General features: G+C 38.6%; 1 protein-coding gene across 1 annotated transcript, besides 7 other annotated features; it reads left to right on the plus strand.

Moving 5' to 3' along the window:
• Positions 10-924: an enhancer, noted in NCBI's record as "NANOG-H3K27ac-H3K4me1 hESC enhancer chr18:22005698-22006612 (GRCh37/hg19 assembly coordinates)". NCBI's record gives its function as "activates a minimal SCP1, AML or CMV promoter by ChIP-STARR-seq in primed H9 embryonic stem cells {active_cell/tissue: H9 hESC(primed)}" and the evidence as "EXISTENCE:reporter gene assay evidence [ECO:0000049][PMID:30033119]".
• Positions 870-1,089: a silencer, noted in NCBI's record as "silent region_9365". NCBI's record gives its function as "represses an Ori minimal core promoter by ATAC-STARR-seq in GM12878 lymphoblastoid cells {active_cell/tissue: GM12878}" and the evidence as "EXISTENCE:reporter gene assay evidence [ECO:0000049][PMID:35858748]".
• Positions 870-1,839: a biological region, named in NCBI's record as "NANOG-H3K27ac-H3K4me1 hESC enhancer GRCh37_chr18:22006613-22007527".
• Positions 925-1,839: an enhancer, noted in NCBI's record as "NANOG-H3K27ac-H3K4me1 hESC enhancer chr18:22006613-22007527 (GRCh37/hg19 assembly coordinates)". NCBI's record gives its function as "activates a minimal SCP1, AML or CMV promoter by ChIP-STARR-seq in primed H9 embryonic stem cells {active_cell/tissue: H9 hESC(primed)}" and the evidence as "EXISTENCE:reporter gene assay evidence [ECO:0000049][PMID:30033119]".
• On the plus strand, positions 946-27,807 carry IMPACT (impact RWD domain protein). The gene is made up of 11 exons (NM_018439.4): positions 946-1,068; positions 2,195-2,323; positions 3,145-3,197; positions 4,598-4,660; positions 12,231-12,316; positions 14,772-14,894; positions 17,325-17,428; positions 19,669-19,742; positions 22,369-22,459; positions 24,095-24,229; positions 25,055-27,807. The coding sequence occupies exons 1-11, from the start codon at positions 1,033-1,035 to the stop codon at positions 25,121-25,123; spliced, it is 963 nt and encodes a 320-aa protein (NP_060909.2). The 5' UTR covers positions 946-1,032; the 3' UTR covers positions 25,124-27,807.
• Positions 1,062-1,249: a silencer, noted in NCBI's record as "fragment chr18:22006750-22006937 (GRCh37/hg19 assembly coordinates)". NCBI's record gives its function as "represses an EF-1alpha promoter that drives an FKBP-Casp9 reporter gene in an ReSE screen in both phorbol 12-myristate 13-acetate-treated (for megakaryocytic differentiation) and untreated K562 erythroleukemia cells {active_cell/tissue: K562 | K562(+PMA)}" and the evidence as "EXISTENCE:reporter gene assay evidence [ECO:0000049][PMID:32094911]".
• Positions 1,120-1,209: a silencer, noted in NCBI's record as "silent region_9366". NCBI's record gives its function as "represses an Ori minimal core promoter by ATAC-STARR-seq in GM12878 lymphoblastoid cells {active_cell/tissue: GM12878}" and the evidence as "EXISTENCE:reporter gene assay evidence [ECO:0000049][PMID:35858748]".
• Positions 18,247-18,447: a silencer, noted in NCBI's record as "peak3074 fragment used in MPRA reporter construct". NCBI's record gives its function as "represses an SCP1 promoter by STARR-seq MPRAs in K562 erythroleukemia cells {active_cell/tissue: K562}" and the evidence as "EXISTENCE:reporter gene assay evidence [ECO:0000049][PMID:32103011]".
• Positions 27,808-27,872: the final 65 nt, after the last annotated feature.

Consider the following 27,872-nt stretch of genomic DNA (forward strand, 5'->3'; position numbering starts at 1 on the left):
GGAATTCTCTACAGGTGTTGAACTCCTAACTCTTGAGAAGAGTTTTATTTTTCTCTACAATGATTTATCTTAAGACAACGGTTTTAAAGAGGGGCAGAAAAATACCCATGATTAAGGGAGAAAGATGTAATATTTTGAGTTTTTGTATATTATGTGTGACGAAAAGTGAAGCAAGCAAGGATGCCTTGCAATCAAGAGATGTCTTGACTGAGGCGTCTCGAATAAGGTGGTTGATATAATTCATAACCAATGTATTAGAATGTCATTGAACTTGTGGGCGAGGGAGTAATGACAAACTGATTCATTTTTTTGGGAAAATGAATCAATGCTCCTTATGTTGACTGGCATAACTAGTGACTGGCACAAAAGTTGCCCCCAAAATATTCGAGACTAAAGAAAACGATCGCAATACAACAGTGAATGGGAGAATAAGGTTCCCCCTCACGCTTTCAAAATTACCGCCTGCCTTCTCTGTTCTCCAGTTTTGGTAAATCAAACCTATCTTTGCCAAAATCCGACAAAACTTAAAACATGTTAAAAACAGACAAACAAACACACAAAAACTCTCCCTAGGAATGTAAAGACGAGTCTGGGACTGTGGACTGAGGTTTGAGTCCCTTCCCGGGACGCGGTGGTAAATGACTCCCTAAAGTCTCCTGGCCATTCCGATGGCGCCAAGGCCGCAATGGGCAAGCAAAAGCCCCCCGCCCCGGCGCATTCCTAGGAGACAGAGCCGTGAGGGCCTCTGGCTGCAACTCGCGAGGGTCGGCTTTCCCTGGGTCTCCGCCCTACGGGAGACAGTGAAGGCGGGAGCAAGGCCCCAACCGAGAACCCCACCCCAAACCCGGGGGCCAGGAGCCCTTTACACCCTTCGGCCCGCCACCCGGAAGCAGATGCCGGCGGCGCGGCGTGGCAGGGTTGTGGTTCCGGGTCGGGCCGCGCCGCAGCCAGCTCTCGGCTCGCAGCCGCAGCGCCCCGCCCCCGCGCTCCGGACCTGGCAGGCGGCGGCTGCAGGGCAGGTCCAGGGGCCACATGGCTGAGGGGGACGCAGGGAGCGACCAGAGGCAGGTGAGGCCCCGGCGGGGTGCTGTCTCTCCAGGCTCGGCTCCGGCTCGCCTCGCCATGCCAGTCCTCCTCAGCCGAGGGGCCCTCCGCCTGGGGCCGCCCCGGGTTCCGCCAGCACTGGCCACGCCATTTGCTCCACCGCGTTCCATTTTCCCGGCGCTTCCCGTCGGCCGAGCGCTCTTAGGCCGGCGGCTCCTCGGCGGCCGCGGTCTCGGCCTGTCTCGGACGGTGTCCTCGTCAACCATTAACACGCGACTAAGCAGCTCTGGGCCGAAGGCAAAAACCGGGGTTTCGATCCCCACCCTGCCGCCGCCGAGTCATCTTGGACAAATCACTTAAGAATTCGGGTTTCCCCCTTTGCAAAATGGCAATAGCCCAGACCCTGCAGGTCCCGAGAGCCCACCGAATCTCACTCCTTCTGGTCCTTGGCATCGAGCTTTCCCTGTGCCTTGTTCACGTGGGCGATCATAAGTCTTTTCCTACAGGGCTGTGAGTACAAAATGAAATGCTACGAAGTCGAATGGATACTTTGCTTCCCATCTTTTCCCTTTAGGTCCTCCAGTTATTTTTCTTTTTTAACCCCAAGCCCAAAGAATAATTTATGAAACGTTTTAAGGGTTTGATTACCAAGCAACCACCCACCCATCTAGTCCTTGTGTACCCCCTCCCCACCTCCCCCCAACACAAAATTTAATACGAAGGAACCAGTGAGACACCCAGCAGGAGTACACAGATAATGTGGGGCAGAGCTATTGGGGGTGGGAGTCAGGGGTGGAGATTACCTGTTAAAAAAGAGAAGGTGGAACAGAGAAGATAGGTTTATCTTTTCACGTGTGAATGGTCACTACAAAGTATGGGAGTGCATATATATTATATTTTGACTCAATAGTGGCCAAAAGCACAGTAATGCAGTAGCAAGGCTGGCTCCAGTCATTGCAGTAGCGCCTAGCAACCACCCAGAGAGCAGAACATGGTGACCTGCTCTTAAGAAACTCTTGGCCTGGTGAGGCTCATCTAGGAATTTTTGATCTACTCTGGTAATGTTGAATTTGAATACCTTATAAAGTAGTAAGAATAGGATTTTAAGATGTGTACATTTGTTGACTTTTAAAAAATCAATTTCTTTCAGAATGAGGAAATTGAAGCAATGGCAGCCATTTATGGCGAGGAGTGGTGTGTCATTGATGACTGTGCCAAAATATTTTGTATTAGAATTAGCGACGATATAGATGACCCCAAATGGACACTTTGCTTGCAGGTACTTTTTCCCCCTTCCTTGCAGCCATCTTTCAGTTACAGTATGAACTATATTGTTGACTTCTGTATTCTAATGATTGTGTTGTTTTCTAAATTATCTTTGTTCTTGGCTTTTCTCAATGATTAAACACATGGGCAGTTACATCTCAGATCACTTTCAAATCATACATTAATTGATAGTTCCAGTCTTTCTAATCCAATGCTTTTAATCATTTAAAAGTGTTAATGTACCCTTGAGAGACTGTAGTTTTGCTTCCCTTCATTATTCTCTTCATCTGGTAGGAGAGGGTCCAAACCTGGAAAGATGGCTAACATTTAAAAGGAAAGAGAGGTTAGTAATGTAGATGACTCGTAGAGGAGACAGTCATTTCTTTATTAATTGAGAATCAATGATCAATGATCAGTTGTAGTTAGGATAAAATAAATGAAAAGGTCAGCTATGGCTTTTCTTAGTGCTTAATCTTTGATGACTGCTTGTATGTACTTTCAACATAAAGGATGCAAAACAGTTTTTGCCAGTGTTTGTTTTTATAATACTGATTTGAAAAGAAGTATGTATGGTTCTCTATTATATGTTAGCTATTTCATATAGTTAATGGTGTTTCCTAGGATTTTTGTAGTATTTCTTCTGAAAAGTACCCAGAAAATATTATAATGCCACTTCATCCACTTGGGGTCAGGGTATAATGTCCATATTTCAGTTTTCCTTTTCCTTTCATCTCTGTCCTCCTTGCCTTTTTTGTCCAGTTGCTAGCTTTATAAATATGGTTACTTTTGAACCTTGATGAAGTGTAAACAGATGTTTTTGAACCTGCATTGTAGGTGATGCTGCCGAATGAATACCCAGGTACAGCTCCACCTATCTACCAGTTGAAGTAAGCTGTATTTCTACGTTTATATTGCTATAAAAAGATTCTATTCTGAAAGATGTTTATACTGTACTTTGCGTTTACATAAAATACCTTTCTTATTAACATGTATATAGAAATTAAAAATACCTTTTGGGTTTGGTATAGAGCATTTAAATAAAAATTAAATTCTATAAAACAATAAAATATGCCACTTAGTATAAAAGAGAATCACAAGGTTCGTAGAGGTGAAGTAGGTACAGAATTGTCTTTAGAGATGAGGAAGGAAACCTTCCTCTTTAGCCTAGTAATCTAGCAACCTTGGCCCTTAGAGTTACTCCTAACCTAGATCTCCTGACCTAGCCACAGTTCCTTGATGTACCTGTAAGACTGCCTGCCTTCCAGGAGTTACTTATGATGCTTCTGGTGTTTCTCCCTGCCCCTTTCCCCGTTGATGTTGACGAACCATCTTCTTAGCAGCCCGAGCTTAATCTTTATGAGCCATGACCTGTTGATGCAAGTGATATTTCATCTACCTTGGCCCCATCACCTAGTAATATGTATAAACCCTTGGGAACAGAATTGCATAAAAATCTCAGTTACTAGGCCGGTCTGATTGTAGACCAGTGATTGGTTTATAACCAGTAATTGATCACAACTGGTTAGATTTCTTTGTTTCTTCTTCACTCCCACTGCTTCACTTAATTAGCCTTAAAAAACAAACAAACTCAATTACTAGAATTTGTACCTATTAGTTTTTTTTGTGCACATATTTTAAAACCATGGCATTAATGCTTACTGTTAATAATGGTTCTGTAAATTTTTATTTTTATTTATTGCAAATGATAGATATAGAATTCTTATAAACATAAATGTCCTTTTAAGAAATTTTTTTTTTTTTTTGAGACAGAGTCCTGCTCTGTCTCCTAGGCTGGAGTGCAGTGGCGTGCTTGACTAACTGCAAGCTCCGCCTCCCGGGTTCACACCATTTTCCTGCCTCAGCCTCCCAAATAGCTGGGACTACAGGTGCCCGCCACCACACCCAGCTAATTTTTTGTATTTTTAGTAGAGACGGGGTTTCGCCATGTTAGCCAGGATGGTCTTGATCTCCTGACCTCGTGATCTGCCCGCCTCGGCCTCCCAAAGTGCTGGGATTACAGGCATGAGCCACCACGCCTGGCCAATTTTTAAACCATTAAAACAGGGTAATTTTGGTGTGGGTTTTGTTTTTGTCATGGTTTCTTGGGAAGGCTGAATGAATTAATGCTAATGAAAGCATTTTGCAACTATATAGATTTATACAAATATAAGACCATTTATGAAAATAATTTTTTAAAGCCAAAAAAATTTATTTGTGATGTAATCTGTAATTTGAGGTATAAACATAATCCTTGAATAATCTTCTTAATTGTTTTATTTAATCTTAGTGCTCCTTGGCTTAAAGGGCAAGAACGTGCGGATTTATCAAATAGCCTTGAGGAAATATATATGTAAGTGACAGGCGATTTTTTAAAATAATTCTGTTAGTGATTGTATTGTGGGCTTTTGTTGAACCTGTGAACCCTTTGTTAGAACCTCTCTAAACTTTTTAAAGCTACTTCTGCTTTAACAAAAAGGACTCACTTGAAGAGACCTCGAAAGGTTAGTTATATAATTTTATATATACATTTGATAGCTTCTACTTAGATACAAAAATACAGTAATATTTAGAGCTAACAACTGTAAAAAACACTTAGGCATAGGCTTGTAATCCCAGCTATTCAGGAGGTTGAGATGGGAGGATTGCTTGAACCCAGGAGTTTGAGACTAGCCTGGGAAATACAGTGAGACCCCCATCTCAATCTCAATAAATTAAAAAAAAGTTATTTGCTAAAAGGATCTTAATGAAAAAAACAAAAACACTTAGCCAACTTGTCAAAGTAAATTCAGAGATACTGCTCTTGATTTGGTATTTTCATAGGCTATGTAGAATGAAATTGATTACAGAATCCTAAGCATAATTATTTCTTAAATGTCTATGTACTTTGAATGGTAATTTCCCTTGTATTAGGCCATAAGACTCAGAATCTATTGATGGGCTATATTCTTCATTCATTCCTTCATTCAATAAATATTACATGGCAGGCACTGTACTAGATCCTGGGTGCAGGTATGGCTAGCATGAACAGAAGTGCCCTTTTTCATGGCAGTTAGAATTTATGGTGTGGCAGAGATATTACTTATAATATTGTAAAAATGAATATAACAATAGCTGTGGTAAGTTCTATGAAAGGAAGATATGCAAAACTAATTGAGTTTGAAACAAGACCTGACATAGTCTCGGAGGTGAGGGATGGCTTGTTTGACTTAAAAGTGGAGTTAATTAGGGGATGATAATTCCAGTGAGAGGCCACAGCACAGGGCTTGGTGTTGGGGAGCTTGGCACATTACAGGAAACAGTAATGGTGATATGCAGTGGTAAGAGACAGGATGAGATGGAGGGAATATGGTAGGAAAAGGACCTGGAGAGGTAGACAAGACAGATCCTGCAGAGTTTTGTAGGTTATGTTGAAGATTCTGTCTTTATACTAAGAATAGCTGGAAGCAGAGAAGGGTTTTAAGTAGTAGGGTGCCATGATAAGATTTTCTTTTTTTTGAGACAGGTTCTTGCTCTCTTGCCCAGGCTGGAGTGCAGTGGCACAGTAGTGACTCACTGCAGTCTTGACATCCCAGGCTCAAGTAATTTCTCCCACCTCAGTCTCCCGGGTAGCTGGGACTATAGATACGTGCCACCGTGCCCAGCTAATTTTAATTTTTTTAATTAAAATTTTTTTTAAAATTTTTTTGAGATGGAAGCTCACTCTGTTGCCCAGGCTGGAGTGCAGTGGCATGATCTTGGCTCACTGCAACCCCTGCCCCTCAGGTTCAAGCAGTTCTCCAGCCTCAGCCTCCTGAGTAGATGGGACTACAGGCGCCCGCCACCACGCACAGCCAATGTTTGTATTTTTAGTAGAGGCGGAGTTTCACCATGTTGGCCAGGCTGGTCTCGAACTCCTGACCTTAAATGATCCACCCACCTTGGCCTCCCAAAGTGCTGGGATTACAGGTGTGAGCTACCATGCTCTGCCTTCAGCTAATTTTTTTAAAAATTATTTTTTTGTACTGATGGAGCCTTGGTTTGTTGTCCAGGCTGGTCTCAAACTCCTGGCCTCAAGCAGTTCTCCTGCCTTGGCCTCCCAAGGTGCAGAGATACAGGTTTAAGCCACTGTGCCTGGCCATGATAATATTTTCATTTAAAAAAGATCATTCTATTTTCTGTTTGAAGTAGTGTTTGGAAGGTAGCAAGAGTAGATGTGGGACATCAGTTAGGGGGCTAATGCAGTTGTCTAGAGAGGAAATATCTATGATTTAGATTAATTTTAATGAAATAATTTAGTAAAACAAATAATGTTCTGGAATATCAGTTTTACTGTAATCCAGGATCTAGTAAGGACTGTATTATATGTTCTAGGTGGCCACTCCATTTGGTACAGTGACAGTCCCTCTTTGTGTCCCTGGGATCCAGGCCAGGTTTCTTTTCCTCCCAAAATACTTAATTAGAAAATGGTGAGTTGTTGTGGAATCCATTCTGCTTATTCCTGCCTAGAGCAAGTATGGTCTTCCTTGGGTCCCCATTTAGTGATTCCGTCATCCTTGGCGGAAGTATAAGTATTTCATTAATTAAATGTTTTCTGATATCTCTCCCTAACATTACTGGCCACTCCAACTTTTGTGCCCCCAACAAACTTCTTTCTATAATCCTCTCATATTTGCCAATTTATCTGCCCCCCCGATCCCCCAGTAGAATAAGATCAGTATACTGTGGATTTGTTCACCATTAACACCAGAATTGTTCATCTAGTGGCCATTTTTCAGCTCTTACCTAACTTTTGGTGGTATTGACCACTTCCTCCTCCTTGAAAATCTTTCCACACTGCTTCCATCATGTTAATCACATTCATCAGTTAGCGTTTTTTCTTACCCATGTACAATGTCATACACTTAGAAGTGGCTCTTCACCTGCCTATCCCCTATCCCAAAAGTCCTCCTTTTACTAAAAGATACCTTCCCACAGGACGCAACTTTCCTTTTCTCTTTAACTAGTTCACTTGAGCTATTTGAAACTTACGAAGTGTCAGAGATTACAATATAGTTTGTTCTAATGGTGGAATATGGGGTCTTGTTTATTTAATGCGCTCGAATAACCTTGGTCCAGTGGTATTATTTTCACACATGTAGTCTAAATAGAAATACACATCTTACTTTTAAAACTTTTTTTTTTTTTTTTTTTTTTTTTTGAGACGGAGTCTCGCTCTGTCGCCCAGGCCGGACTGCGGACTGCAGTGGCGCAATCTCGGCTCACTGCAAGCTCTGCCTCCCGGGTTCACGCCATTCTCCTGCCTCAGCCTCCCGAGTAGCTGGGACTACAGGCGCCCGCCACCGCGCCCGGCTAATTTTTTGTATTTTTAGTAGAGACGGGGTTTCACCTTGTTAGCCAGGATGGTCTCGATCTCCTGACCTCATGATCCACCCGCCTCGGCCTCCCAAAGTGCTGGGATTACAGGCGTGAGCCACCGCGCCCGGCCAACTTTTTTTTTTTTTAAATAGGACTTCACTGTGTTGCCCAAGCTGGCCTTGAACTCCTGTGCTCAAGCCTCAAGTGATCCTCCTGCCTCTCAGCCTCCTGAGTAGCTGGGACTACAGGCACATACACCACACCTGGCTTTATTTTTAAAACTTTTGTGTGACAGCATTTTTTTTTTTTTTTTTTTTTCTGAGACCGAGTCTTGCTCTGTTGCCCAGGCTGGAGTGCAGTGGTGCAATTTCAGCTCACTGCAACCTCCGCCTCCCAGGTTCAAGCAATTCTTGTACCTCAGCCTCCTGAGTAGCTGGGATTACAGGTGTGCACCACTACGCCTGGCTAATTTTTGTATTTTTAGTAGAGACGGGGTTTCAGCATTTTGGCCAGGCTGGTCTTGAACTTCTGACCTCAAGTGATCCGCCTGCCTCGGCCTCCCAAAGTGCTGGGATTACAGGCGTGAGCCACCACGCCTGGCCTTTTGTGACAACTTTTAATCATATTTTCCATATAATTCCAGCAGAGGGCAGCAAGGGGGAAATACAGGTTTTTAAAAATTAAACATGGGCCAGGTGTGGTAGCTTTTGTCTGTAATCCCAGCATTTTGGGAAGCCTATGTGGGAGGATTGCTTGAAGCTAGAAGTTTGAGACCAGCCTGGGCAACATAGTGAGACCTTCCCCATCTCTATAGAAATTAAAAACATAAAAATTAACTGGGTGTGATGGGGCGTGCCTGTAATCCCAGCTACTTGGAAGACTGAGGTGGAAGGATCACTGGAGTCCAGGAGGTCGAGGTTCAGTCACTTCACTCCAGTCTGGGTGATAGAGTGAGACTCTGTCTCAAAAATAAATATATAAAAAGTAAGCCTGTGAAGAAGGGAAGGGGCTCTTTAGAAGAGCAGTCAGTAACTCAGGAGGGATATAGTGGAGGCCTTTATTAAGGCAAAAAGAATATGAATGGAGAAGAAGGTCAGTTAAAGAAATACTTAAAAATATATTGGCCAGGCGCAGTGGCTCATGCCTGTAATCCCAGCACTTTGGGAGGCTGAGGCAGGCGGATCACCTGAGGTCAGGAGTTCGAAACCAGCCTGACCAATATGGAGAAACCCCATCTCTACAAAATTAGCTGAATGTGGTGGTGCATACCTGTAATCCCAGCTACTTGGGAGGCTGAGGCAGGAGAATCGCCTGAACCCGGGAGGCAGAGGTTGCGGTGAGCTGAGATCGTGCCATTGCACTCCAGCCTGGGCAACAAGAGCAAAACTCTGTCTCAAAAAAAAAAAAAATATATATATATATATATATGTGTGTGTGTGTGTATATATATGTGTATTATATAAGTGTATATATATGTGTGTATATATATGTGTATATATATGTGTATATATATGTGTATATATATGTGTATATATATGTGTGTGTATATATATATATAAAAGCTAGGATTTGGTGATTAATTAGATGTATATTTAGTTGTTGTACCTACTTTTTTTTTTTTCTGAGGTGGGGTCTATCTCTGTTACCCAGGCTGGAGTGCAGTGGCATGATCATGGTTCACTGTAGCCTTGACCTCCTGGGCCCAAGTGATCCTCCCACCTTAGCCTCCTGAGTATCTGGGTTTATAGGTGTGCCACCACTGGCTAATTTTTGTATTTTTTTGTAAAGAAGGGGTCTTGCTACGTTGCCCAGACTTGTCTGAAATTCCTGGCCTCAAGTGATCTATCTGTCTCTGCATATCAAAATGTTGAAATTACAGGCATATGCTACTGTGCCCAGTCCTTAATTTTTATTTAAATATTTTGCATGTGAATATTTTGAATAAATGAAAATAACTTTTGATAAAACAAAAAGTAAATACACTTAAAATACTTAGAATATGATACTGTTTAAGAGAAAATGAAAAGGATTACAAGTTTTTTATAGTATTTGACTTTGTGATGCTCTATTATAGCAATATTTAATTTAGAAATCTGAGAAAATAATTTTTGAAATTTTCTACATCTCTTCACATTTCGATGTATCATGGCATGTTAGGTTTTAATGTTGGTGAGTGAGGCTTCTTGAATCAAAAATTACACTGGATAAAGTCAAACAGACAAGGAAGACTGTATTCAAGGCCGCTGCAATAGGGGAAGGAGGCCAGAACTAAGTGTGAACTCAACTCCTCTGAAACAAAAGGCAGAAGGGTTTTTAAGGGCCAGGATGAGCTAGTGGAAAAATACTGAAAGATATTATGTGGGGCAGTTAATCGGGTGTGTTGGGCATATTGAGTTATTGTTGAGTTTGCAAATATTTCTCTTTGTGAGTAGGCCATCTGTGTTTACTAATAGGTACCCGTTGAAGTTAGCCTCCTATTCTCCCACAGAGACTGGAAGATAAGGGCAGTGTCTTCTTTGATGCTGTGTTTCAAAGGGATGGTTTCCAGGTCCTTGAGAAAGACATTTCCTGGGTTGTAAAACCAATTAAAGTTTTCTGTAAAAAGATTTACATATATCTCAAAGAGATGGAGAAGGAATTTACAATGACAAGTTTTCTGAAGAAAATGCTCTAAGAAAAGGGAGGTAAGGGCCTAGAGTCAGGAATGGGCCCATATAAAGTTTAGTCGAGCTGAGGTTAAGGCTGTTTCAGTCAGGCTTTTGGAGTCAGTTTTTTAAATAGTGTCATCTCTTTGTGTCTGTTTTCTCATCTGTAAAAAGGGGATAATATTGTAAGCATTAAACTAGCAGCTATCATTTTTTTGTTCTTTAAAAATTTTATTTTTTTATTTTTTTGAGATGAAGTCTTGCTGTGTCGCCCAGGCTGGAGTGCAGTGGTGCAATCATAGCTCACTTCAGCCTCCAAACTTCCAGGTTCAAGTGATCCTCCCACCTCAGCCTCCTAAGTAGCTGAGATTACAGGCACACACCACTGTGCCTGGCTAAGTTTTTTAATTTCTTACAGAAACGGAGTCTCGCTTTGTTGCTCAGGCTGGTCTCAAACTCTTGGTTTTAAGCTATCCTCCTACGGTGCTGAGATTACAGGTGTGAGCTGCCACATCTGGCCTGTTTTTTTTTGTTTTGTTTTTGTTTTTGTTTTGAGAAGGGGTCTTTTTCTGTTGCCCAGGCTGGAGTGCAGTGGCACGATCTCCACTCACTGCAACCTCCACCTCCCAGGTTCAAGCAATCCTCCCACCTCAGCTTCCTGAGTAGCTGGTATTACAGGCACGCACCACCACATCTGGCTAATTTTTGTATTTTTTTTGTAGAGATGGGGTTTTGCCAAGTTGCCCAGGCTGGTCTCGAACTCTTGAGCTCAAGTGATCTGCCCACCCCGGCCCACCAAAGTGTTTTGATTACACCACGCCCGGCTCTGGGATGTTCTTATTTCAAAAATCTTCTCATCCAGCTTATAATATTGAAAATTAGGTGACAGAAACTCAGATCAAGTGATTAGTTTAACTTCACACAGCTTAGTGCATTTTAGTGAATAGCTTTACTGTTATATCAACCAATACAAGTATTTAGTTTTAGTACTAGGAATTGTGGGTGTGATGGGGAGGATTTGAGGGTATAGAATTATTTAAAAACAATGTTGTTTTCTTCTGTCTCTTGTTTCGAAAGTTTTGGTGGGTGCTGATGAGTAGTGATAAAGAGAGATAATGGTTTCAAGGGAAACTTTTAGAGGAAGGAGGTGAGGTGTTGCTATATAGTAGTGTGGTGATATCTTTAAACACATACCATACTTACTACAATTAGTGTCTTTTTCTAAAGAGCAGACACTTGGGCCTTTATTTTATTGCTGCTACCATCATTTAACATAACTATGGACATGACTTTAAAACCTGTGACACATTCTTTTTCTCAGTGATCCTTTGAGATGGATTTAGTTACCTGAGGCAACCAAACATCATTTGGAACCAAAATGAATCAATTTAGGCAATAGAATGTTTTGTCAGAAACAAGATATGAATATAAAATTGTTGAATTGTCTTTTAGGTCTTGTAAATTGACTCCCTGAAGGAGTTTCCCATATGCTTTACATTCTTTCTTGTTGAGATAAGTATACTAAATGATAAGTGTACCAAATAAGGGGTTTGAAATTCTTAAAAAACTTTAAAAAAGCAAGCAGTGATCAGACATCGATACTGAAAGATTGTATCCACTTACAGAAACTAAGTCACATTTATATTTCTTTAATCCATCTAGTTTGGAAATGTTTATTCCCCTCTTTGGTTACAGCTCTTCTGCTTATTTTAAAGTAAGCCATGTTAATTTTGGAGTCAACTGGAATTTTTAACGTTGCTATAACCTGTATTAACTACTCAGACACAAATGTTGATAAACCCCAGGTTTTTATAAATTATTTTAAAAAAGAAATGGTTAGATTGTTTATAATGTCTTGGATTGCAAATGTCTGTATCTTCTTGAATTTGAGAAGATGATTTTTGAAATAACAATTTTTTTTTTCCCCTGAATTTTGTTTAGTCAGAATATCGGTGAAAGTATTCTTTACCTGTGGGTGGAGAAAATAAGAGATGTTCTTATACAAAAATCTCAGATGACAGAACCAGGTAGGATTGAAAAATACTATCAATACTCTTTTAACTTATAATAACTACATTTTTATGTAGATACTCTAGTTGAAATTTAATGTGAAAATCTGTATTCTGGTTTATGGTTTGTATATTATAAAATACAAGTTTCTCTGAAAAGTTTAATTGCTCATGTAATTATAGTTATTTATTTCTATAAGGTTTAGCCTCTTTGATTTTGTATTACAGTATTCCTCCTCATCTGAGATTTGGCTTTCCATGGTTTCAGTTACCTGTGGTCACCTGTTGTCTGAAAATATTAAATGGAAATTTCCAGAAATAATTCATAAGTTTTAAATTGTGTGCCATTCTGAAAATGTTATGAAACCTTGGGCTGTCCCATTCTGTCTAGGGTCTTGTCTAGGATTCTACATTGCTTTCCATTGTTGTTTCTCTTTACTCTCCTTTAGTCTGTAAACAGTTGTTCAGTGTTTCCTTGACTTATAACCTTGACACTTATGAAGACTACTGATAGTTATTTTGTAGAATGCCCCTCAATTTGGGTTTGTCCATTGTTTTCTCATGATTGGAGTGAGATTAGTAGCTGGGAGTGGTGGTGTACTCCCAGCTACTTTTAAAATTTTTTCTACAGACGAGGTCTCCCTATGTTGCCCAGGCTGATCTCAAACTCCTAAGCTCAAGTGATCCTCCTGCCTTGATCTCCCAAAGTGCTTGGATTACAGGTGTGAGTCACTGTGCCTATTGTATCATATGCCTTATTATTGGTGATATTTACCTTGATGTCTCGGTTACGGTGGTGTTCGCCAAATGTCTCCACTGTAAATGCTGTAGTCAGGGTTCTCCAGAGAAACAGAACCAATTGAATATATGTGTGTATATACATGTGTGTATGTACCCACACACAAAGAGAGAGAAATATATTTTAAGAAATTGGCTTATACAGTTGTGGAAGGTGGCAAGTCCAAAATTTGCAGGATAGGCTGGCAGGCTGGGGACCCAGGGAAGAATGAATGTTGCGGTTTGAAAACAAAGATGGTCTGCTGGAAAAATGTCCTCTTCTGGGGAGGTCAGTCTTTTAATGTTAAGGCCATCAGCTGATTGGATGAGGCCCATATGGAAGACAGTCTGCTTTACTCAAATTCAACTGACTTAATTGTTAATCTCATCCAAAAAATACCTTCAGAGAAAAATCTAAAATAGTGTTTAACCAAATATATGGGTATTGAGGCTGGGCACAGTGGCTTGCACCTATAATCCCAGCACTTTGGGAGGCCGAGGTGGGTGGATCACCTAAGGTCAGGAGTTCAGGACCAGCCTGGCCAACATGGTGAAACCCCGTCTCTACTAAAAATACAAGAATTACCCAGCACGTTGGGAGGCCGAGGCGGGCGGATCACGAGGTCAGGAGATCGAAACCATTCTGGCTAACACGATGAAACCCCGTCTGTACTAAAAATACAAAAAATTAGCCGGGCGCGGTGGCGGGTGCCTGTAGTCCCAGCTACTCGGGAGGCTGAGGCAGGAGAATGGCGTGAACCCGGGAGGCGGAGCCTGCAGTGAGCCGAGATCGCGCCACTGCACTCCAGCCTGGGCGACAGAGCGAGACTCCGGCTCAAAAAAAAAAAAAAAAAAAAAAAGAATTAGCCAGGCGTGGTGGTACGCACCTGTAATTGCAGCTACTTGGGAGGCTGAGGCAGGAGAATCACTTGAACCTGGGAGGCGGAGGTTGCAGCGAGCTGAGATGGTGCCACTGCACTCCAGCTTGGGTGACGGAATGAGACTCTGTGTCAAACAAAAGTAAACAAATATATGGGTACTGTGGCCTAGACAAGTTGACATGTAAGATTAACCATTGCAGTCACTGTCTTTCTCTTTGTAGCTTGAGGGAGATACTTTGAAGCTATGCTAATATCCTGTTTCTCCTTAAACTTTCTGCCACTAATTTTAGTATCTATCCATGGAACTTGTCAACAATATTTATTACTGTGGTGTTTGCCTGATGATGATTTTCTATTTTCTTCATTCCTTCCTCATTTAGTAATTGGAATTCTATTATGAGGAAGGGATGTCTCTTCCCATTTATGTATTTATTTATCTGTTTATTATTTATATCAGTATGGACTCATGTATATTATTTCAGTCCATGGGTTAAAATGCCATCCTATCATATTTTTTTGTTGCTCAAATTGTTCTAGCTTTGACCTTTAAGAGCCCCTTCAGGTTAACTCCTGTGTTCTTTTTATAAGCCCCATCTCTTTTTGAGCATTTCCCAGTTTGTGGATCCACATGAGGTTCCAGGTTCATCTTGTAGTTTCCTTGCTCCAACTCAGGAATCAACCAGTTCTCCTACGGGCTGAGTGCTGGTTCCTTTCGTTGAAGAGTGGTATTTAGAACCCAAGACCCAGTGATTTTTTTTTAAAAAGCATCGTTTCTTACCTGCGTCATAAAGTAATTGTGTCTCATATTCACATAGGCCCAGATGTAAAGAAGAAAACTGAAGAGGAAGATGTTGAATGTGAAGATGATCTCATTTTAGCATGTCAGCCGGAAAGTTCGCTTAAAGCATTGGATTTTGATATCAGTGAAACTCGGACAGGTATAATGTTACTAACTAATTTCTTTTGAGGAGAGTGGGTTGGTAGTATTATGTATTGTTCTTTGAGATGATAGAGAAATTTACTAATTTTCTCCAGTTTTAGGAAGGAGTTATTAATTTGCAGATAAGATTAATTTTTTCCTGCCTGTTGGCAATTTTGGTGTTTGCCAAGTCTTATCAGAATGGCAAGGAAAAAATGGAAATTTACTCTTTTCCCCCTACTTTCTAGAGTTTTGATTTAGTGATGGAAGAAATTGAAACTAAGAAAGGCTATTAACGTTTTTAGTTAACATCATGTTTTTATATTTCTGTATTGAAATCCTTAGCTGTTTCCTGATGTTTCAGGATTAAATTTTAGTCTGTGCTCACAAATACAAATATATTAACTGAAAGTGCAGCCCTGGAAATTAAAGCTAGTAAAATGCCTTTAAGAGGTTTTTTTTGAGAGACAAGGTCTCGCTGTGTTGCCCAAGTTGACCTTGAACTCCTGGGCTCAAGTGATCCTTCTACCTCAGCCTCCGAGTAGCTGGGACTACAAGCATGCACCATTGTGCCCAGCTTGAGTTCAGTTTTTGTTTGTTTGTTTGTTTTTTTGAGATAGAGTCTTGCTCTGTTGCCCGGGCTGGAGTGCAGTGGCACGATCTCAGTTCAATGCAACCTTGCCTCCCAAGTTCAGTGATTCTCCTGCCTCAGCCTCCTACGTATCTGGGATTACTGGCACATGCCACCATGCCTGTCTAATTTTTGTATTTTTAGTAGAGATTGGGTTTCGCCATGTTGGCCAGGCTGACCTCAAATGACCTACCCACCTCATCCTCCCAGAGTGCTGGGATTATTATAGGCGTGAGCCACCACGCCCGGCCTAGTTTTCGTTTAAACAAATTTGTTTCGTAATCGAGTAGTATTCAACATAAAAATAGGTTGCTGTGATATTATGTTTCATTTTAATATTTTAAAATTTTGAATGTTATTGTTAGTTTCCCTAAGCCTCTTAGGAAAACATGGTAGACCAGGGGGAATATTCATTCTGTTTGAAGGTGAGGGGTTTCCTGTGTCATTACACAGTAGCTTTTAAAAGGTGCTCTGAGTTTTAAGGCTTTTGAATGGTGTCCAGGACTAGTAGAAGGGAACAAAGAGGAAATGAAAGAGTGGGGAGCATCCAGGGCTCTCATTTATGCTCTAGCCTAAGTAGCTCCCATTTTAATCATTTATTTGTGTGTGGATTTGACATATGATATCTTTTGAAAACAGGATCTACCATGAAAAGAAAAAGGATAAAAATCATACTCATAAATAAATACTATCAATTGGTCAGTAGTTCATATTGACCCTAATACTGTATTTGACTTATTACTATGTTAGTACAGCAGTCAAAATCAATTCAGGAAAAGAACAGTATCAGAGGGAAGGTGTAAAACATCTTACATAAACCTACTTTCTTGTCTTGAATAACTTTTCATCCTAAGTGAGGCAGGTAGTAGTAGCCAGGACGATTAAGTCTCTCAACAGAATTGAGGGTTAATTAGTGATTCTTTTTTTTTTTTTTTTTTTTGGAGATGGAGTCTTGCTCTGTTGCCCAGGCTGGAGTTCAATGGCACAAACTCGGCTCACTGCAACCTCCGCCTCCCAGGTTCAAGCAATTTTCCTGCCTCAGCCTCCCGAGTAGCTGGAATTACAGGCACACGCCACCATGCCCAGCTAATTTTTGTATTTTAGTAGAGACGGGGGTTTCACCATGTTGGCCAGGCTGGTCTCAAACTCCTGAACTCAGGTGATCCACTCCCTCGGCCTCCCAAAGGGTTGGGATTGCAGGCGTGAGCCACCACGCCCAGCCATGATCCTTAAACTTGTTTTAAGAGGTATAATAACTGGAAATCATGATGCTCTTTAAGGAATACCAATTGGATGTATTATTGATGTATTTAATTCCATCATATGAAGTAGAAACAGTTTCATTAGCAGAAGGCATTATATTATAGCTACACAATATAAAGAATATAAATTCATAGTTTTCCCAACTCAGAGGTCTAACAACAGTGAAACTGATAAATAAATTTTATATTAGCAGCTATAAATCTTTGGTTTCAGGACTCCTTTACACTCTTAAAAATTATATATTAGATATTGTACCAACTTACACTACTGACTGCAGCAGTTCAAGATTAGTCCCAACCCACTGCTTCCCCTGGGTAACCTTGGCAGGTGGAAATCATTTATAAATCAAGTATTTTAATCTTATGTACAATATAGTTAGAAACTTTTTACTTAAAATTATAATTTAAATTTAATTTTGGTAGATAGCGATTAATGGTTATTTTAGTTGATTTGCCATGTAATTTACATTTCTTTCCCAGCTGCCCCCCCATTTCATTTTTTTCAGTATTTGAATGTAAGGCTTTTTAAAAAATAAAGTTTCTTTTACATTTCTAGAAGTAGAAGTAGAAGAATTACCTCCGATTGATCATGGCATTCCTATTACAGACCGAAGAAGTACTTTTCAGGCACACTTGGCTCCAGTGGTTTGTCCCAAACAGGTAAAGTTCCTTTGTCTAGCTCACTTTGATGATTACTAAAATAATTCAGGTAAATGATTTTGCAATAATCCCCTTGTTTTTACTTTTATGTTTTATTTTCATATAAGATAAAAATTATTTGTTCATTTTTCTACTCCCAAATTACTGTGAATCACGGAAGATTTGTTTTGTTTCTGTTTGTCTCTGCTTTCTTTCTTTTTTTTTGTGATGGTGTCTCACCATGTTGCCCAGGCTGGTCTCAATCTGGACTCAATCAGCCCTCCTGCCTCCAGCCCTCCCAATCCAAGGTATTGGGATTACAGGCATAAGCCACCTAGCCAGGCCTGTCACTGCTTTCAAAATTGTATCTAAACTCTGATTAGGGGTTAACCCTCTAATGAATCTTTAAATAAGAAATACCCATTGTGTTATTAGAGAAAATTATGATGCTTAATACCTTGTCAAAAAGAATTATTTGTCCTGTCGAATGGGAGTTCTGTGAAACTAAGTCCATTCCTCTGTTATTATTCAACAAAGGGGACAGTGGACAGACTGGCTAAACCAAGTCCTCCCTACCTGACTTACTTTCCTTTGTGCTTCTTGATCTTAGGTGACCATATTTCCACCCAGGGATATAAATGGGAGAGGTTTCAGCCATAAACTATTCCTAGGTCTTTGCCTTTCTCATTCTCCTTTCAGCAGAATCCTTTTCTTCTTCCTTGCTTCTATAATGTAGCTCAGCTTACATTATTGATGTACGAGGCAATTTCAATACTACCTGTAAAGTTACATTTTTAAAAATGTCTCATTTACTGCAGGTTTTAGGCATGAGTCTCTTCCTTTGGTCTTTGCAGCTACCCTACTCTTGAAGCTCTTTAAAGCCCTGGGCTTCAGGGATACAGCTCTTTGTACCAGGCTGTTTCACTCTCTGAAAGAGGAAGTTCTTTTCTGCGTTGACTTGTGGTCAAGATCATAACTTTTGGTGCAGACTTCTGGTCTTTTCTCTCAGGAATCCTATTTTGTCCCTGGCCCTTAGTCACATCTTCTTCCCAGGGTCCTCCTGAGACATTCTAATTCTGAATCTGTTTATTCTGGATCCTCTTTCTGTTTCTGATCACAGTCACTTAGATTTATAGCATTATAATTTGTGAGAGCTGAAACAAGTTTTAGAGGTCATTGTCTATTTTATTGATCAGAATTTGAGAACCTGAAAGATTATAAAATGATAAACAGAAGATTGCACAATTTGTGATCCAAATTGGTGTCCCCAACTCTAGCTCAGTCTTCCCTGCCACCAATATTTCTTCCATACTTCTTGCCATTACAACATCCCTGAAAAATCTGACCATGTGTCATTCTGTTCTCTCTCTTATCCACCTTCACACATGTAATCTTTGCTGATTTCCAATGTCTACAAGGGAAGATCTAAACTTATTACACAGATCCTTTGTAATATGGCCCTAGCTTATCATTCATGACACATCTTCTGTCATCTCATTCATACTCTAAGTTAAGCTGTGTAAAGCTTCCTGAACTTTTCTCTTTTTTGTTCCCACTAAGGTTGCCAGATAAAATACAGAATACCTAGTTAAATTTGAATTTCAGGTAAACATTATTGCATGGGATGTACTTATAGTAGAAAAATTACTTGTCGTTTATCTGAAATTCAAATTTAACTGGATGTCCTGTACTTTTATTTGCTAAATTTGGTCACCCAGTCCCTGTATTTTGCATATAGCCCTATTCTCTGTGTGGAATGTCTTCTTCCTGCCCCATCTTTCCTTTTGATGCAGGAGAACTGCCACTTATAAGACCTGGCTCATGTGACCTCCTCTATGAACCTTACTTGACTCCCAGAGAAAGATGTGGTTTTATAACATTTGGAACATACCACTATTGTACACCTGCTACATTGGATGTATACATTTGGTAAATTTCAGAGCTAGTTTTTAGAAGTTTTATATGATACATTTAAAATTCCCTACATGGGGAACAAACTTTCCCTTTGACATAGTAGTACCGAAATATTTGTTGATAATTAGTGCTCAAAAATACCAGGTCTGTCATTTTTATACCAATTATGAGTACCAGTCTCTGCCCCTAAAATGAGAAGGAAACTTTGGAAATGACTTTTTCAGAGTATAGTAGACTCTTTAAGTGACTATTTATTTTAATACAGCATGCTTCAAGGTATTTTTCTAGCATTTATTTACAGAGCAAATATAAAAAGCATACTTATTTATATTATTGCTGTTTTTAAGGTGAAAATGGTTCTTTCCAAATTGTATGAGAATAAGAAAATAGCTAGTGCCACCCACAACATCTATGCCTACAGGTGAGTAATCATCACAAGCTTTAGTATACTCAGTTTGTTAAAAATAGAGGGAAATGATGCATGATTTTAGAAAATAATAACTATTGTGTATTTTTTCCATTGTAATAGTAATAGACATGGAATATTTGGAAACTGCAGAAAAGATAAAAAAGAATTGAAGGGAAAAATCTGGCATTTTCTGCCATCAAATGTAACTGACAATATTTTGTTTTTTGTTTCATTTTTTTCTCTGCAAAGTTTAATTTTTCCCAATGCTTTATTTACCCTTGTATCCTGTTTTTTTCTTAATTAAACAAAAGCACTTTTTCATATTGTTATAACTGCTTGATAAATACTGTTTAATGGCTGTAAAATATTTGAGATGCCATACTACAATTAACCATTTCCTTTTAGTTTTTCATGTTTTTCACCATTATAAAGAGTGGTCCAGGGAACATCTTTGTATACTTTTTAGGTTATTTCCTCAGGATAGGTTCTGGTTGCTTGAGATTCTTTTTTGAAATGAAATGGGAATATAATAAAAGGAAGAAAGAATTCTTAGAAGTAGAATTATCAAAAAGTGTGAACAATTTTGAAACTCTTGATATATAGCCAAATTTCTTGCAAAGGTTTTGTTTTATTTTGGTTTGGTTTTTGAGACAGGGTCTCAAAAACCCTGTTGCCCAGGCTGGAGTACAGGGGCGTGATCTTGGCCCAAGCAATCCTCCCACCTCAGCCTCCCACGTTAACTGGGACTGTAGGTGCGAGCCACCATGCCCGGCATAATTTTTGTATTTTTTTGTAGTGACAGGGTTCTGCCATGTTGCCCAGGCTGGCCTCAAACTCCTGAGTTCAAGTGATCTGCCAACCTTGGCCTCCCAAAGTGTTAGGATTTACAGGTGTGAGCCCAAATGTTTTTAAAACCAATTTATGCTCCTGTAAGCAGTGAATTAAGAGTATTTCTTTTACTACATGAGTTTCAGTTTTGAGAATTCAGGTTTTTATATGCATCTTTGCTGATTTGTAAGTGAAGAGATGAAGGGCATTTGAAAAAATACGCAAATTTGTAAGACTTTAAAAGTACATAGTTTAGGCCTAAAATAAATCAGAACACAGGGACTTGGTGTAAATTTAAAATGTGATTGAGACTATTTGTAGAATCTAGGCTATCTGAAACTGAAACTCAAAAATTCATCATTTTGAGTAGGTGAGTTCTTAATATTACTAATTTCACATCTCTTTAAGTGCCAAAACTTACAAACAATTATTTGTTATGTAATTCCCCTCTTAATAGAGTATCACTGGATAGAATTTTAATGTTTTCTTAAGCAGTTATGGCCTTCAATAGGAAAATGAGGAATTAGACTACTCTCAGTCATTAAAATGGGCTGTAAAAATTGTAATGTTCATTTATTCTACATGTTTTTTGAGTGCCTACTCTGTGCCAAAACTTTATGTAAATTAACTCTTATTAGTTAGCAATTCTAGCACTGTAAAAAGGTTAGCTTTTTCAAGATCCCATAGTTAAGTGATGGAGCTGAATTTGATAATCCAATTTCATTTGTTTTCTTTATTTCACTCCTCTATGGCTGTGGCTACAGCTTCAACAATCTTGTATCTAAGCTATGTAAAAAAAGAAAAAAGTACTCATAGTATTTTAACTTTAATGTTCATAGTAGATGGTCAGTAAATATTTATTGAGTGGATGGATGGATGAAGGGAAGGAAGGATGAGTGAATGAATGAATGTGACTGCTGTAAGGTAACATAACTGACTTAGGTGTGTAGATGAGCTTTTATAGCTTTTAGTATTTACATTAAAAGTTTACAGCTTTTTATGGCCAGAGCTGGGAGGATGTCTTTACTACATTTACCCAGTTCCACATGATACCATTGGTAGGGCCCTAAGAAATCCACCAGATGGCATACTGTAACTGACACTATTTTTTTTTTCTCTCTCTAGCACTTATTTGCCAAGCTTATTTTACTGTATTGTAGGCCTACATTATTATTTCAGATATAGCTTTCTAGTTTAAATGGATAAAAATACCACGATTTGTCTCTAATATTAGTAACCATCCAGAGGAAAATTTAAATCTTTACATTCTTAGAAGAAAATAGAGAAATGCTTGATGGCTGGAATAAGATGAGAGGAAAGTATAAAATATTACCTTATGTTGGTTTTGTTGCCTTCATCTTTTTTTTATATGCTTTTTGTTTCACTACATCTTAAGGCTCTTTGAAGACAGATGCATGCCACTTACTTCCTTTATAATATGTCTTAGTACCTGTTGCTTTTATACAGTATATTCTCAATAAATGTTTTTCAATGATTGCTCTTGTTACTTCAAGGTTAAATGAAGTAAGGGGAATGTCACATGGATAAATTCACCTTCCCATAATAGCAACATTTCTGATATAAAGGAGATGCCTTTGATTCCTAGCTTTCCCAAGTATATAAAAAGGCAAACATACTGGATAGTAAACCGTCAGTGAAAATATATCTAATATAATACATATTTCAGGAAGGATTTAAAAAAATGAATATGCTGATTTTGGAAGTAATCAAAATGATCACAAATGTTGAGGAATAAGTTTTATTATAATATTTTAGTTTCAAAGTGTAATACTCTTACATGTATTTGCAGAATATATTGTGAGGATAAACAGACCTTCTTACAGGATTGTGAGGATGATGGGGAAACAGCAGCTGGTGGGCGTCTTCTTCATCTCATGGAGGTAGGTGTAAGTTAAACTATCAATCCTGTTCTGTACAAGCCATAAAATTTCTCAACAAAACAGAGCTCCATTTAGTAATAGCTAAGTCAGTTGAACTATGTAACATAAGATATATTTGATTTAATTAGTAGTTGATGTTAAAATATTGATTGAATGAAAATTTTAACCAGTGGATGTGGGACAGAAAGCAAATAATTAATAAGAAGTGCTATGCTTTCAAGACATAGACAATAGAAGATTGTCTTCAACTTTGGGAAAACACTTTGTTTTTTTGACAATTTCCTTCTCTTTATTTTTTCTATTCTTTCTTTATGGAACTCCGGTTAGTTGGATATTGGAACTTCTGGATAGATCCAGAATTTTTTTTTTTTAAATTGAGTTGTCCATCTCATTGTCTTTATATTCTGAGACATTTTCTTGACTGTTGTCCAAAATTTCTGTTGAATTTGAAATTTTGTTTAGCAGCCATATATTTAATTTTTAAGAGTTCTTTCTTGTTTTCTGTTTTTCCTTTTTAAGAATATCCTGTTCTGTTTTATGGCTCCAATATCTTCTAAAATTTCTCTGATTATATTAATTAGAGTTTCTTTTTTAAGATGTTCTCACCCCTAAAAAAATTTTTCCTGGTCCATTTTTGTTTGTTTATCTTGTCCTTTCTCTTTCATGCTGCTGGATTTTCTTCATCTGTCTGGTGATCATTTATTGTTCATTAATTTTAGGATTGGATTATTTTTTTCCTAAGGTAGTTACCTGGTTTTTTCTGCTCTTGTATGTGAAGGTTTATTTTCTAACAAGGCCTTTCCCTTGAATAGTAACTGTGTTTGTGGGTCAGGCCTGTAAACTGGTGGGCTTCACATTAAGGGCAGCATTTGACAAATGTCAAACTGATGAAGACGGCCAGGTATGGTGGCTCACACCTGTAACCCTAGCACTTTGGGAAGCTGAGGCGGGGAGATCACTTGAGCCCAGGAGTTCGAAACCAGCCTGGGCAACATGGTGAAACCCTGTCTCTACTAAAAAAACACAAAAATTAGCTGGGCATGGTGGTGCATGCACCTGTAGGTCCCAGCTACTTGGGAGGCTGGGGTGGGAGGATCACTTGAGCCCAGGAGGCAGAGGTTGCAGTGAGCCAAGATTGTGCCACTGCACTGTAGCCTGGGTGACAGAGTGAGACTGATCTAGATCTCAACTGATGAAACCTTACTAATAGCACCAGGGATATTGATGCCTCGTGCAGCCCCTGTAGCTTTGTTCAGAAGCAGGGTTTTTTTTGTTGTTATTTGGCCTAGTGGTAAAATGCTGCCTAAACTTAGCTGTTCTGGTTGAAGTCACCAGGTGCTAGAATCCTACTTGCATGGTCTCCCCTTCACTCTGTCCAGTTGCCCCAAATCTGGGAGTTTGAGGACATTGTGAAACACAGTGATGGTTTTCCAGATTCCCTTCTGTTCTTCCATTTCACTCCCTGAATTGTTAGTAATCTCACTCAGTGCCTACTCACTCATATGGCTCTACCATTAAAGTCACTGGGAAATTTTATGTGCAATTTTATACATGGGTTATTTCATTCTCCTTTTTTAAAACTCATATTTATACATGTCTGTCTATGTATCTAATTATGCTTCCAAAAAATAACAGATTTTGAATGTGAAGAATGTCATGGTGGTAGTATCACGCTGGTATGGAGGGATTCTGCTAGGACCAGATCGCTTTAAACATATCAACAACTGTGCCAGAAACATACTAGTGGAAAAGAACTACACAAATTCACCTGTAAGTGGCTCTTCGTACTACATCTAGAGAATTTCTCATCACTGCCTGGGAATTTTTTAAAAAGACAGAAAATTAAGAATGAATCAGAATGTGAGTGGTGAATTGGTAAAACCTTTGGACTCAGAACCTGGAGACCTAGACTCTAAACAGTGTGTCTGGCCAGTCACGTGACTTTGGACCGATCACTTAATCCCTTCGCACCTTGATTTCATAGGACAGACCACTTCATCCCTTCGCACCTTGATTTCATAGGTTCATAGAATTTTATAATTAGAAAAACCTTTTAAGACCAACTAGGTTCCATCCCTAAAATTGAGCCCCAGAGTGGTTGTAGCTGATATCACATCAGACTAGATGTTCTTTAAACATCTAGAAAATTCTGAAATTCTCTGTTAGTGTCAAAACATCTCCCCCTTCACTGGCATACCTTTAGATGCTTTCTTCCTTTATACTTTGAGTTTATTTTGTTTTATATTTTAGGTATGTTCATATCTGCCTTATTTAAATTTTACTGCCTTGGGAAAGTGGGGCAATAGATGAAATAATTTTGAAATTATTCAAACATAAATCCACTAGATAAATAAGGTTTCCTTGATTATTCTTGATTGTTTAAAAAATATTAGCCTATAAGTGAAAGTACCCTTTAAAACACAGAAATGACACATATAAAAGTGATTATACCCTCACTGTAACATATATACATACATACATATATGTATGAATATATGTGGAATATATATGTGTAAATATATTCTAAGTGATTAGATTGAAGATTTCATCTTTATGTAAATGGAGAGATGCTGCACTGATTTGTGTCTTTTTCAGGAGGAGTCATCTAAGGCTTTGGGAAAGAACAAAAAAGTAAGAAAAGACAAGAAGAGGAATGAACATTAATACCTGAAACTATAGGAAAGGTTAATTTGCCTATAATTATATATACATTCCATAGTCATCAAGGAATATATTGTGCAGAGAGAGTATCCTTGACTGCTTAAGTCAGCCAGTTCAGCATGGATACCAACATTAGCTTTTCTTCTTGGTTATATCATCTGCCAAAAATAGAGAACTTATGATCTATTCATGTGTGTTTCAGGCTTATTTGGGAGAACTAATTTGAACTTAATCACCACTTCATCTAATTTTAGCAAGGTAACAGTTGCCCAGGGCAGTACCTGAATTAACTGTCCATTTCAGTACATGTCAAGTGCCTTTGTTAGGTGGAGAAGAAATGTCTCTAGAGGAATATAAATACCTGATTTCTTGTCATCGAGATTCTTGTACTGTTAAATGAATATTGCCTTTTACTGCTCTTTATGGCTTATTGGAATAGGAGCTCATTTAAGATTGATCTTGGAGAGTTTCTTCTTGTGATTTTAGTTCATAAGTATGTCACCTTTCATTTTATAGTGTTCATCATTGAGTAATGGATTAAGTGAAAATCCAGGAGTATCCATCTGCAGTTATGTGCTGAGGTGATAATTCATCCAACATATTTGTTAGCATAAATATTATGCTTCAGTTTCTGTTGCAAATTGGTGATTGTGAAATTACAGAAAGTGATTTTCTAGTCTGCTTTTTTTGTTTAATTCTTGTAATGTAAGCAATAAATATGGAGTGTCAGTAGTCTCCTTCCACCCCAGAAATGTGTTGGTGTAACATTCTCGTTTCTTTTAACAACCTGGAAGTACCTTTCTTGTGATCTTCACTGAGGAATTAGAACTATGATAGAAGTTAGGCTGTGGCAAATGGGACATTCGTAGAGTGGGATAGAGGTGGCAGAATGAACCTGGTGTAGGGCAGGAGTATGTTGTGTAGTTACATCAATTTGATGCATGCTTTCCATCTGCACTCCAGACGGCTTTCTCAGTTCCAAGATTTTGCAGAGAGAAGGAGCAAACCTTTTCATTGGAAAAACAGAAACAACCCTCCCCCCCATTTTTTCCCCTCTATTCATCAAACCTTTATGTATCTTTCATCTTCCAGTTACCTCTAGGCATTTAGATAGTGAAATTTACCTTTGAGATATAACAATAAGTGATTAACTGTTCACTTTCAGATGTAATGGCAAACAATTGTTAAAAGTTATTAACTGATCACAGATTTGCCTGGACTTCCCTTCCCAGGGAGGGAACAGAAGTTAGGAGGCAACTTTGGGATGGTGCTAGAGCATGGAAAGCACAGAGAATTGGACAAACAGGTCTTTTTCTCTTTTCTCTGATGTTTTACCTTTAAAAGATCCAACATCCTTACCGTTGGTATTTTTAGTAAGGTTATAGTAAATAGCTTTACACCAGGATGGATTCTGAAATATAAATTCTAAATTATATTTGTTATAACTATATTTTATGTTGTATGTTATCAGGAGCCATCAGAGAATGACCTTTTTGTGTTTGGAACACTTGGTTCCATGAAAAGTATGCTTTGTGTTTTAACTGTTAAAATAATTTAAAAATTAATTATTTTACATAATTAAAGAAGTTAAAAACTATTAACATTAAATAATTTCACAATTTCAACATGTCAAACCTATGAAGGGAGATAGGAAACAATGAGAAACTTACTTTTGCTCCTTTATACAGAATTATTAACTATATTTTACTAACTAAAAAACTCTAGTATTCTTTACCTAAAGTCAATTGGCTGGTAAGAGGGAGAGATGCAAAATTCTCCAGCTCTGAACTTGGAGCTACTTCACACTCTACTCTTAATGGAAACTTGAACTAATGATAGATAGTATTTTTTTCCTCTATTTAAAATTTTTGTCTTGATTAGGAGATTTTTCAGTTCTCCATATAATAATTTTCTACAATCAGATCTATGCTGTGGCATATTTTGCTTTATTTAAAAATTTTTTTTTAGAGATGAGTTCTTGCTCTGTCACCTAGGCTGGAGTGCAGTGGCATGATCATGGCTCACTGCAGCCTTGACCTTCCAGCCTGCCAAGTAGCTGGGATTACAGACAGGCATGTGCTATTACACCTGGCTAATTTTTAAAGTTTTTTTTGTAAAGATAGGGTCTTTCTATGTTGCCCAGGCTCGTCTTGAGCTCCTGGCCTCAATCGATCTTCCTGCCAAGGTTTTGGAATTACAGGTGTGAGCCACCATGCCTGGCCTGCTTTGACATATTTTATAGTGTGTTAATTACAAATAGTCTTCATATGCCAGAATATAAGAGCAAGTGTTATCTACTTTTTAGATGGGAATTGCAGAAGCTGCATCAAAAGTATGCTTTGAGGTATATATAGTGAAACAGAGCCTTTCTGAAGAGAATTATATCAAACTAATTACAACCAAGAAATAATAGTATGAAGCGGATGCTGTTTGGAGGACAGGAAAATTTATCGGGAAAATTACATAATCCCTCTGATTCCACTATCCAGAGATAGCCATTATTATTAATATTTGGTATGTACATCCTTATATTATTTTTTTCTTATGCATGATTTTGTATATATGGTTATTTTTCTTTCCATAAAAATGGTATTAAACTGTATATACTGTTTTGTAGCCTACATATTTCATATAGAAGTATATTGTTAACATTTTCCATGTCAATAAATATTCTTCTATGGCTTAAATGTCTTATGACTGCATTGTATTCTGTCTTCTCAGTATTATACTAACTAGTCCTCCACTTATTTCC

This window comes from Homo sapiens, chromosome 18, assembly GCF_000001405.40.
Source record: "Homo sapiens chromosome 18, GRCh38.p14 Primary Assembly".
Lineage (NCBI taxonomy): Eukaryota > Metazoa > Chordata > Mammalia > Primates > Hominidae > Homo > Homo sapiens.